The sequence below is a fragment of the Homo sapiens genome, chromosome 6 (genome assembly GCF_000001405.40).
Source record: "Homo sapiens chromosome 6, GRCh38.p14 Primary Assembly".
NCBI classification, from domain to species: domain Eukaryota; kingdom Metazoa; phylum Chordata; class Mammalia; order Primates; family Hominidae; genus Homo; species Homo sapiens.
In genome coordinates, this window is record NC_000006.12 from 43,757,926 (window position 1) to 43,769,426 (window position 11,501).

General features: G+C 54.3%; 5 annotated features.

Moving 5' to 3' along the window:
* Positions 468–1,004: an enhancer, noted in NCBI's record as "H3K4me1 hESC enhancer chr6:43726130-43726666 (GRCh37/hg19 assembly coordinates)". NCBI's record gives its function as "activates a minimal SCP1, AML or CMV promoter by ChIP-STARR-seq in primed H9 embryonic stem cells {active_cell/tissue: H9 hESC(primed)}" and the evidence as "EXISTENCE:reporter gene assay evidence [ECO:0000049][PMID:30033119]".
* Positions 620–679: an enhancer, noted in NCBI's record as "active region_24616". NCBI's record gives its function as "activates an Ori minimal core promoter by ATAC-STARR-seq in GM12878 lymphoblastoid cells {active_cell/tissue: GM12878}" and the evidence as "EXISTENCE:reporter gene assay evidence [ECO:0000049][PMID:35858748]".
* Positions 2,360–2,860: an enhancer, noted in NCBI's record as "H3K4me1 hESC enhancer chr6:43728022-43728522 (GRCh37/hg19 assembly coordinates)". NCBI's record gives its function as "activates a minimal SCP1, AML or CMV promoter by ChIP-STARR-seq in primed H9 embryonic stem cells {active_cell/tissue: H9 hESC(primed)}" and the evidence as "EXISTENCE:reporter gene assay evidence [ECO:0000049][PMID:30033119]".
* Positions 2,861–3,361: an enhancer, noted in NCBI's record as "H3K4me1 hESC enhancer chr6:43728523-43729023 (GRCh37/hg19 assembly coordinates)". NCBI's record gives its function as "activates a minimal SCP1, AML or CMV promoter by ChIP-STARR-seq in primed H9 embryonic stem cells {active_cell/tissue: H9 hESC(primed)}" and the evidence as "EXISTENCE:reporter gene assay evidence [ECO:0000049][PMID:30033119]".
* Positions 6,847–7,348: an enhancer, noted in NCBI's record as "H3K4me1 hESC enhancer chr6:43732509-43733010 (GRCh37/hg19 assembly coordinates)". NCBI's record gives its function as "activates a minimal SCP1, AML or CMV promoter by ChIP-STARR-seq in naive H9 embryonic stem cells {active_cell/tissue: H9 hESC(naive)}" and the evidence as "EXISTENCE:reporter gene assay evidence [ECO:0000049][PMID:30033119]".

The following is an 11,501-nucleotide window of genomic DNA, read 5'->3' on the forward strand; positions in this document are numbered from 1 at the left end:
CACAGACAGGCACACACACACAGAGCCCAGGCGCGGCCAAGACAGTTGTCTGTTTCACCTCATCTGTGGCCCCACTCTCCTTTAGTTGAGTTAGGTGCTAGTTCTTTCCTTTGAGGGGTCCAGTGTGAAAAAGTGACCCTACTCCTCACCCCAACTCTGTCTTAAATGTCCCTGCAGCTTTAGTCCCCAGGCAGGCTCCCAAGAGGGCGGGGCCTGGTGCAGTGTTTAAGGAGGTACTCACTCTTAGGGCCTGCGCTGCACCTGCACGACCCTTATAAGAGTGAGCAGCTCCTTACTCCTTACATTTGGTCCTCGCCTAGCTGCCTCGCTTGCCTCTCCCTAGTTCTGACCCTGGATGGGGCGAGGGTAGTGGTGCTTTGCAATGTGAGCCAAGAAGTCTCTTTCTCTTCCAAGGTCAGGCAGAGATTCCTGAGGCTGAAGCCATTGCTCTCCTTTCTGTACTCAAATGAACAGTGTATTTCAGCATATTATCTGAATATTACTCAGATAATATTTCCACCACTCAAACCTACCCTTCTTCAGGGTCCTCCACAGTCCAGCCTACCTTTCTGTCCCTGAATCCTCCAAGCAGTCCCCGTCCCAGCCCTGGCTCATACCTCATACTTCTCTGCTCCTAGAGGGTGAGTCTGGATAGACAGCCTCCGGCGTGGTGCCCCCTCCTCAGGGACCAGGGGCCTGTGCAGAAAGCCTCCTGGGCATGCCCCAGAGGCTGGGAAGTCCAGCACTGCTCTCCCTCGCCCTCTAGAGGCTCGGGGTGGCACTAGGTGAGGTACCTGGGAGGGGTCCTGACTGAGGAGGGGGCCCTGGGCTTCCAGAGAATGTCTGGAGTGTGGCCACGGTTGGGCAACAGCTACATCTGAAGCCCACTGATGGAAGGTGCCCAGCAAGGTTGTTCTGTCGTCTCAGGCAGAAGGGGGTTCAAGGCCGCCCACCTCTGTCTGGGTGTTGCGGGTCTTCCCTCCTGTGGGCCAGAGAAGGGGCTCCCTAACCCGCACCCAGCCAGGCCAGTGGGACAGCCCCTCTCCAACTCCTACCTCCCTCTTGGGCAGCTTCGAGGAGCCTGGAGGCTGCCCCTGCCAGCCCTGGGGGACTGTGGCCCCGTTCTAGAGAGCCAGACATCCCTGAGGACCTTTAGGACAGGAGGGGAGGAAGTGTGAGGAGCTGTGTCCCAAGGTGGCTGTGATCGGGGTTGATGTAGGCAGAACCTGGGAGACGGTGGAAGAAATCTTCAACTCCTGGTAGGGAAGGACACATAGAAAAAGGTGAGGATGGTGGTGTGGAGACAGCCTGGGGGAGAGGCCAGAGTGGACAGAGGCTGTGGAATCACTTAACAAACCTTTCTGGGCGGGGAGACTCGGTGCTGGGGTGTGGGCCTCCAGAGGGGAGTAAGCAGGGCAGACCCACCCTTCCTCATAATACATATGCATAAGCTCATTTGCATAACAACACACCTGCTCACCTGGCCCCCATCGAAGTAACTGGCCTTGCCTCAAATGGTCCATTATTTTTGACTAAAGTATGGGGAAAGGGGACCCATTCTCTTGCTCATCCTTTTCCTTATCTCCCAGATTCCTGGGTTTGGAAGAGAAGGAGGAGTAACTGTGGAATGAGTCACAGAATTATTCCACCTGCCCCAGGGCCAGGCCACGAGTAGAGCGAGGATAGATGTCTCCCTAGAGCCTTACCTGCTGCCCCTGGGGAGGTCTGGGGCTTCCACCCAGAGGAAGAGCAGGGGTGGTCTGGGCAGCCCAGGAGTCTGGGGGAAGGAAGCAAGCACCCTTACTCCTCATGATCTCTGTCCTGTTACCCTCCCCAGTGCCTGGGGCCAGGGCTAGGTGTGTGTTATCTCACCTCAAACAGTGGCTCTGGGCTCCCCTGCCCAAGCTAATGTCATAGTGGAGGCCTCAGGCCCTGCACCAACATGGTTCCGTAGTCCCTGGAGTCAGGCTGGGGGAGCCCAGGGCTGAGGCTCCCTTTCATCCCCTCCCACCAGGAAAGGGTCTTTCTCGGTATTTCCCACAAACACTCATATCACCACTTGACAGCCTTTTCATTCCATTCTCCCGCCTCTCTCAGCCCCACCACACCCCTGACACATTCCTTCCCCCACTTCAGCTCCTGGATCGCAGGCAGGGGCACCCTGCCTATCCCCTCTCCCAAAGCGGGTGCCTGGGAGCTGACATCTTGGCTCACCTTCTCCTCCTTTGTCTTCTCTTCCTTTCCCCCACTCCCCAGCATTTCATCCAAGCCAGAAATGGGCCTAGAAGTCTGTAGAAAGACATCCCGCTGCTATCACTCCACAAATCCTCTAGAGAAGATGAGTTTGGTAGACCTCTGCTTATCTGATTTAAATTCTTCTTGCTGTAATCTCAGCTGTTCTGGTTGGTGGCAATGGGCAAACTCAGGATGTTGGTCAGACAATGGACTGAAGAGTTTACTTTTCTCTGCTTCCCTGCCCAACTGTACTTGAGTAATCTTTATAGTATCTCTAAAAGATGGTCCTGGAATGGTGCTCCCTGGTCCTTCCCTGTCTCTTGCAGTCGGCCAGGACACAGGCGGGAGTATCCACAGCTCTCATTTTACAGCTTCCTTCCCGTTCCCTACAGCAATAGAGGGGGAGCCCTAACGGGGTTTTAGCAATCAGTCCAGCCCCTTCAGTCTGGAAAGGAGGACACTGAGGCAGGGATGGGCGGTGCCTTGCTCCAGGCCACACAACAAGGCAGTGACAGTGGCTGCGTTTGAACCCAGGTGTCCTAACCTCCAGGACCCACACATGGCAATCTGAGGAACTGCTCGGGGAGCAGAGTGCTTAATGACAGGGCTTCAGGGACACTATTTGTCAGAGGGGCTTTCAAGGTAACTCCTGTGGTGGTGTTGGGAGGGGGTGCTCAGCCGATGCCTAGTCTCTCTGTAGCCTTGGTGGGGAGGCCACTGTGACCCAGGTCAGCTTGCCTGGAACAGCTGGGTTTCTGGAAACACTTCTCTCTTCTCTATGGGGCCCTGTCGTGGGTGGTGGTGGTAGACGGGGTTTGTTTGTGTGTGTGTATGTGTGGTTTAGTAGTCCCTGCAGCCTTCAGCCTGGAAAGCTGAGGAGGCATGGAGAGGCAGGGGGTTGGTGGATGAGTGACGGGAGGGAAATGCAGTGGGGGAGGAGATGCCACCGCAGGGCTACGGTCAGAGTTGGTGAAGGGCAGATTCACCGTGCCTCCCTCTGTCCTCCTTAAGACCTCTGGTCATGCCAGGGTCTTATGGAGGGGGCTTGGTGCTCCGCACTGTATTTGTTGCTCTCTCTGGAGTTGCTGTACCAACTCTCCTGGCATCCCGACAGGCAGGAGTATGTCCCATAGCCACAGAAATGCCCTTTTTGCAGGTTCTTCCTAGTTCTTGGAGGGCTAGAAGGAACTGAGGGGATGTGAAGAGCATCTTTCCTCCTAGCTTGTTCCCCACTGCCCAGGCTTGCTCCCCGACAGTGAATGGGAAGTGGGGAGCAGTCACCTTCCCAGGGGGCTCCAGAAAGCTGAGGACAGAGTAGCTAAGCTCACAGAGGAGCACTTAGTCAATGGGACTGACCCAGGAGGGCCCCGGGACAATGGGGCTAGGCAGAAAGGAGCAAGAAAGAAGGAGGCAAGGAGGGATGGAGACATCTGAGGAAAGACAGAGAAGGAAGGGAAAAGGAAATGCTCTGTTCACCCATAACTGTCCATGATCTGGACACTTGGGGTTGGAATTCCACCCCAGAGCTGGGGCTTGCCTTGTCTACCATGTTTTCAACAGTGTCTAGGTCCCATGAGTCCACCGCCTCAGGCCTGGCCTCTGGAATTGAAGGCCTGGTGAGGTACCTGCTATGTTGGGTGTGGGCTACACTTATGCATGAAGATTAGTGGGGAGTCCTGGCCTGGCCTTTCCAAGAGAGGAGGAGGTAGGGAGGCGTGCAGACCAGGGACCCAGACAGGCCTCATTCTCAGCAGGGAGCTGCACATTCCAGCCTAGAGTCAAGAGCGGACTGGGGCAGGGCAGACATTCACCTGGTGTACCCCAGCACGCCTCCTGATTGATTGGTAAATAGCTGTTGTTCCAGTCCTTGAGTTCCCCCTGTGCCTCTCTGGCCACCCCAGTCCCTTACTTGGTCCCCTGGACCTCTCCACCATCCAGAAATTGAGGTTTATGTCTGGCTTGGCATACGCCGTCAGCTCTATGTGAACTGTGCCTGAGCCATAGCAGGTGTTAAATGTTTTGGCCATCATCCTGAGCTCCGCAGGGGCCTTGTGCCCCACAGCTGGAGCTGACTGCGACCAGGTCCTGGAACTTGGAGAAGCTGGCAGCAGGCACAGCAGCTCTGAGCATGCCCTGCCTCACTTCTCCTGATGCTTCCAGCTGTGTTCTGGAAGGAGATGGGTCTGGATAAGCAGGCTGGCATGCAGGGAGATGTAGGCGGGACCATCTCTCCAGGAGACCCCAGTAGGGAATGGTTTAGCTGTGGCCTCTGCAGGGCACTGCCTGGAGTAAGGGAGTGCTGAGCCCCTCTAGGGAAGGAGGAGCAAACAACAGATCCCTGGGTCAGCTGCTGACACACTCCTATGCACGCGGCATCTAGTTCTAGCACCTCCTCTCTGGCACTGCCTGGCTCCCCACCCAGCCAGTCAGCTCTTAGAGGCAGAAGCCCAGTGTATCCCAAAGGTGCCTGGCTCAGTGCTGGGCCCCGATTAAATGATGAAGTGGCCTGGGGAGGTAGAAAGAGCCCCAGGCTGTGAGTTGAGTGATCTGGGTTGAGGTCTTGACTCTATGCAGCGCTCCGGCTTTGGACAACTCTGGGCTTCCTTCTGCTCCTCTGGCCAGTAAGCTTCTTTAGCAGTGGAAACTTTTCCTCAAATGAAATTCCAAGTGAGGGGCCAATAAATGAAGCAGATAAAACTGCATGTACTGTGTTTGCCCACTCCCACACCTTCCTGCTACCTGTCCCATCTCTGAGGACCCTCAAGACTCCTAGGAGCACAGTCTGATGTTCTCCTGACATGGATATCCTCTGACTAATTGCCTGCTTCCCTGAATATCTCGAGGCTATTGGGCCAGGCTGATCCTGGAAGCTGAGGGGAGGCCTCCCCACTCCTCATGCCCTGTACTTCTGGGTCTGGGAAAGCAGGGAGTATGGTGGGACTTTGAATCCAAAGTCCCTGTACTTTCCACTGCCCTACCTAGATGTCCCTGTACCTCCTGTAAAATCAGCATAGAGCCTGGTGCCTGGTAGTCCCTACAAATATTCACAAATTGGAGCTTAGCTCAGCTCTCAGGGGGCCAATCAGGGGGCCAATCATTAACTGGCTTTATCTTTGTGAACCATCCTGGGGGGCCCAGGTCATCGCCCCAGCTTCCAGCCCAGGCCCAGGGGGCTGCTGGGGGAAGGGGCCCTTCTTGCTGGGAGGTAGGGGGCGCCTTGGGTCCCTGCCTCTTTTTTTTCCTGGGACTTCCCCGAAGGAACTCACATTGCAGTCAACTCAGTGACAACCTAGTTACATAGTTGCTTCAAATAAAGACTAAAGCAGGATCCAAGCCAACAGATCCCCCAACCCCTAGTCATCTTTGGCACGCATTATGTAATTTCTTGCTTTTCTTTTTTTTTAACCAGGGGTGGGGTAAACCCATTTCCCTATTTGTTTCTGTTTTACTTTAGCCAGATGATAGTGGGTTTGCATTCTCTAAGAGTTTGCTCACGAATGGGGGTGGGAACAGGAGACAGGGAAGGGAAAAACATTTATATGATACCTACTCTGGGCAAGGAGCTTAGCTGATGTTTGCTGTTTCCATATATTTCCCTACAACCCTGGGAGGTAAGAACCATGAACCTCATTTTACAGATGAGGAAACTGAGGCTCAGACAAGATAAGTGAATTGTCCAAGTCTCAAAGCTTGGAAGTGTTGAACCAAGATCAAACCCAGCCTGTCTGGCTTTTTCCATTACTCGCTATGGGGGTGGTGGGGTGGAGAAAGGGGAGTGGGTGGGTGGCTGAGGCTTTTCACAGTGAGGGTTCATCAAGCTGGTGTCTTTCCTGAAAGGACAGAGGTCTGGCATCTCAGGTAACAGAGGAAGCGGTTCCCTACCTGCTGGGATTTGAGGGGTTCATAAGAACTGCTTCTCCCTTCCATCACTTGGTGCTGAGCCCCAGATTTCACCACTAGTGCTAGATTTCTTTGAGTTAAGCACTGCCCTCTCCAAGAGGCTTTTAAAACACACAGGCCCTGGAAGATGTGACATTTGGTATCAGTCATCTCATCTGGAGTGTTTGAGGGAGATGTTACAGGCTCACAGAGCCTCAGAGCTTAGGGAGTGGAACCTCATGCTTTACCCAGGAGAAGCCTGAGGTCCAGCAAGGGGAGCTGACTCGGCCAAGGTCACACAGCATGCAACAGACTCTGGAAATTTTTTTTTTTTTTTAGACGGAGTCTCGCTTTGTCGCCCAGGCTGGAGTGCAGTGGTGCCATCTTGGCTTACTTGCCTCCTGGGTTTAAGTGATTCTCCTGCCTCAGCCTCCCAAGTAGTTGGTACTATAGGCATGCACAACCACGCCTGGCTAACTTTTGTATTTTTAGTAGAGACAGGGTTTCACCATGTTGGCCAGGCTGATCTTGAACTCCTGACCTCAGGTGATCTGCCCATCTCGGCCTCCCAAAGTGCTGAGATTACAGACGTGAGCCACCACACCCAGCCAGACTCAGGACTTTTTTGCCCAGTGCTGTTTCGAAGTCGCCACATGCCTGTGACAGGTAGACAGGAGGGCTCTGGGTACCAGGTAATGAAGTGAGGGATTAAAGCTGGAGGAAATGTATCTTTCTGCTTTATGCCTTGGCCCAGCTGAGTGGCCCTGTGCTCGTCACAGGCTGGTGTCCTCTGCTCTCCTCCCCTCACTCCTGGGGCAAGCAACAGTGGTGTTCCATGTGTGAGCTGGACCTACCACTAGTGTTGGCTTGTTTAAATTCTCTGACAGAGACAAACTGTCCCGGGGGGCGGGGAAGGCAGTGTGGAGCTCACCCCCTGAGGGAGCAGCATTGTCTCTGTGGGCTTTGGCTGGGAATGTTTCTGAAGACGCCCTAATCCCTTGCCCTGCCTAGCCTCAAAGTCTCTATCACTCAGAGGAGTACTGGGAGGGCTCAGTGTGAGCCATCAGAACCTTCCAGGGTATCTTCCCTTGCTTGTTCTCTTTGCGCAGTCCACTTGGTTTGCTAAACTCCTGCTCTTCCATCAAGACCCAACTCAAGGCCAGGCACGGTGGCTCACGCCTGTAATCCCAGCACTCTGGGAGGCAGAGGTGGGCCGATCACTTGAGGTCAGGAGTTCGAGACCAGCCTGGGCAACATGGTGAAACACCATCTCTACTAAAAACACAAAAATTAGCCAGGTGTGGTGGCAGGCACCTGCAGTCCCAGCTACTCCGGAGGCTGAGGCAGGAGAATTGCTCGAACCTGGGAGGCAGGGGTTGCAGTGAGCCGACATGGCGCCACTGCACTCCAGTCTGGGCGACAGAGTGAGACCCTATCTCAAAAAAAAAAAAAAAAAAAAAAGACCCAACTCAAGTATCATCTCCAGGAAGCCTTCCCCTACTCCCAGCAATTAAATGCTCCTCAGAGAATTCCCATTTTTGGTTTACTCTTTGGTTTACCTCCAGACAGGAAGCCCCCACTGACACTGTTGTAGTCCCAGGGTGCAACACAAAGCAGAGATCACAAGCTGAGTTTAATAATTGCTTGTGGAATACATGTCCCAAGCCACCTCCTGCAGGAAGCCCTTCCAGATGCCCATTCTAGCCAGTCTGGCTCTTTGCTTCCATACCTTCACAACACTTGTGCCTCCCCCAGGGCCTCTTTCTCATCTTGCTTTCTGGGGCAGCTGTGTGCACATTTGTCTGTGTGCAGCAACTCTCTAAGGCAGGGATTTTTACTCCTATTTTTGATGAGGGGAGCTGTGGCTCAGAGAGGTTGAATAACCTAAGGCCACACAGTGAGTGGCAGAGCCAGGAATGTGACTTGGGTCCATTTGAATCCAAAGTCCCTGTACTTTCCACTGCCCTACCTAGATGTCCCTGTACCTCCTATAAAATCAGCATGGAGCCTGGTGCCTGGTAGTCCCTACAAATATTCACAAATTGGAGCTTAGCTCAGCTCTCAGGCAAGGCCCAGGTCAAAAGGGCAGATACAGCTTTGGGACCTTAGTTGCCACCACATGCCATACCTTCTTCCCAGCAGAAGGACTCCCTCCAAGACAGGGTAGGGGTGGAGGATGTGAACAGGGGCAGAAATGGGCATGTTTTGGGGTCAGACTTGGAGGAATAGCAGAGATTGGAGTGTCAGAAGGTGAGCATGCCTGGGGGTGTTGGGGAGATGCAATTCATCAGGGACAGCTTAGTGTCAGGGGATTAGACTGGGGCCCATGAAGGAGAGGCAGAGGCTGATGGGCCTAGGGGTGGTGTGGGTAGGTGAGCTTCCCCAGACAGTGACTCTGCCCTGCCCTCTCTCCAGCTAGGTCCTCTTCCCCATTCCTTCCCCCTTTCCTGACTGGATCCTCTTGGGAGAGTTACCCTCCTTGGCTTCCTCTGCTCCAATCTTTTTATCAGTTGGCCATCATTACTTATCATTACCTCAAGTCAAACCTCCAGATCCACATGGGGCTAGGACATTGGCACTGGACCAAAGAGGCCCTTTCCTTTGCTTTCTCTTTGTCTTTTTAATGCTTTGTTGCAAAGACCTAGGCGGGGAGAGAGAGAGAGAGAGAGAGACAGAGATTGACCCACAGTCAGGGTCAGGGAATTGAGGGGAACCAACCCAATTCTCTCTCCTTCAATTCACCAGGTTTGTATCCTGCCCTTCCTGCAGATCAGTGTCCTGCTAGTCACCTGGGGGTCAGGGGATGGAGTGAAGGACAAGACCTCCTTCCATTGCAGTGAAGCCACTTGGAGAAATGTGTGGAAAACAGCAAGACCCAGTGACTCTCTCCTCACCTTCTTTCCAATCTCAGGAGAGATTTTGTCCCTTCATCCACCGGCTTCTAGATTAACCACCCACACCCACACAGGCGAGAGTTTCCCTGAATATTGGAGGTGACAGGACATCAGGACAAAGTACAACTATTGTGCCTTGGCCCAATCACTACTTTCTTTGTCTGGGGCCGCCGCTGGCTCCTGGCTGCCTTTCGCACTTTTCTCCACCCCCACCCCTTTCTCCCCTTCCCCCTCACCTGGAACACCTTCCCCTTCCTCCTTGGCTCCTTCTGAACTGCCTTCAGAGCCACAGACTGTGGGGAGTGGCCACTGCGCTCCCAAGGTGAGGCCCTCCAAGCGGGGCCGAGTTTGCCCCTCAACTGGGAGCCAGCATGACCTCTGTGTGGGCTGCTCTCTGCTTCACTGCCCCTTCCCCCAATCTGCTAGGTGACCCTGGGCCCCTTTGTGCCCTCTCTGGGCCTTCGGAGGATTCTTTGGGGAGACAGTCTGCTCTGACGCCCCTTCCCCTGCAGCAAGCAGCCTGGGGAGGGAGGTGAGGATAAGTGAAGTCAAGTTGTTCAGGGGGCTAAGCCCATGGAAGGGAAGATGCCACAGAGATACATGTGGTCTTGTGATTGTTGTTTTGTGCTTTTTCCCCTTTTTTGAAAGCTCAGGTGACTAGGTGACTTGAGCTTTTAATTTGGTGACAATGTGGGCACTGGCTGAGTCCTTAAGAGTACATTGTTGTAAATGCCGGTGACAACACACTGGGGCATGGGATCCAGAGTTAACCCCTCCAGGTCACAGCCAGGTTATATCTCCACAATGAAGGGGGGAGGTGGGCCATACTTTCTCGCCCTAATGAAGGTAGCTCAAAAACCCCTAGGCCAGGTTGTAATCCTAGCCTTATATAAAAGGAATTCTGTGCCCTCACTCCCCTGGATCCCTGGGCAAAGCCCCAGAGGGAAACACAAACAGGTTGTTGTAACACACCTTGCTGGGTACCACCATGGAGGACAGTTGGCTTATGGGGGTGGGGGGTGCCTGGGGCCACGGAGTGACTGGTGATGGCTATCCCTCCTTGGAACCCCTCCAGCCTCCTCTTAGCTTCAGATTTGTTTATTTGTTTTTTACTAAGACCTGCTCTTTCAGGTCTGTTGGCTCTTTTAGGGGCTGAAGAAGGCCGAGTTGAGAAGGGATGCAAGGGAGGGGGCCAGAATGAGCCCTTAGGGCTCAGAGCCTCCATCCTGCCCCAAGATGTCTACAGCTTGTGCTCCTGGGGTGCTAGAGGCGCACAAGGAGGAAAGTTAGTGGCTTCCCTTCCATATCCCGTTCATCAGCCTAGAGCATGGAGCCCAGGTGAGGAGGCCTGCCTGGGAGGGGGCCCTGAGCCAGGAAATAAACATTTACTAACTGTACAAAGACCTTGTCCCTGCTGCTGGGGAGCCTGCCAAGTGGTGGAGACAGGACTAGTGCACGAATGATGGAAAGGGAGGGTTGGGGTGGGTGGGAGCCAGCCCTTTTCCTCATAAGGGCCTTAGGACACCATACCGATGGAACTGGGGGTACTGGGGAGGTAACCTAGCACCTCCACCAAACCACAGCAACATGTGCTGAGGATGGGGCTGACTAGGTAAGCTCCCTGGAGCGTTTTGGTTAAATTGAGGGAAATTGCTGCATTCCCATTCTCAGTCCATGCCTCCACAGAGGCTATGCCAGCTGTAGGCCAGACCCTGGCAAGATCTGGGTGGATAATCAGACTGACTGGTCCCACTCTTCCCACAGGCCTCAGAGCCCCAACTTTGTTCCCTGGGGCAGCCTGGAAATAGCCAGGTCAGAAACCAGCTAGGAATTTTTCCAAGCTGCTTCCTATATGCAAGAATGGGATGGGGCCTTTGGGAGCACTTAGGGAAGATGTGGAGAGTTGGAGGAAAAGGGGGCTTGGAGGTAAGGGAGGGGACTGGGGGAAGGATAGGGGAGAAGCTGTGAGCCTGGAGAAGTAGCCAAGGGATCCTGAGGGAATGGGGGAGCTGAGACGAAACCCCCATTTCTATTCAGAAGATGAGCTATGAGTCTGGGCTTGGGCTGATAGAAGCCTTGGCCCCTGGCCTGGTGGGAGCTCTGGGCAGCTGGCCTACAGACGTTCCTTAGTGCTGGCGGGTAGGTTTGAATCATCACGCAGGCCCTGGCCTCCACCCGCCCCCACCAGCCCCCTGGCCTCAGTTCCCTGGCAACATCTGGGGTTGGGGGGGCAGCAGGAACAAGGGCCTCTGTCTGCCCAGCTGCCTCCCCCTTTGGGTTTTGCCAGACTCCACAGTGCATACGTGGGCTCCAACAGGTCCTCTTCCCTCCCAGTCACTGACTAACCCCGGAACCACACAGCTTCCCGTTCTCAGCTCCACAAACTTGGTGCCAAATTCTTCTCCCCTGGGAAGCATCCCTGGACACTTCCCAAAGGACCCCAGTCACTCCAGCCTGTTGGCTGCCGCTCACTTTGATGTCTGCAGGCCAGAT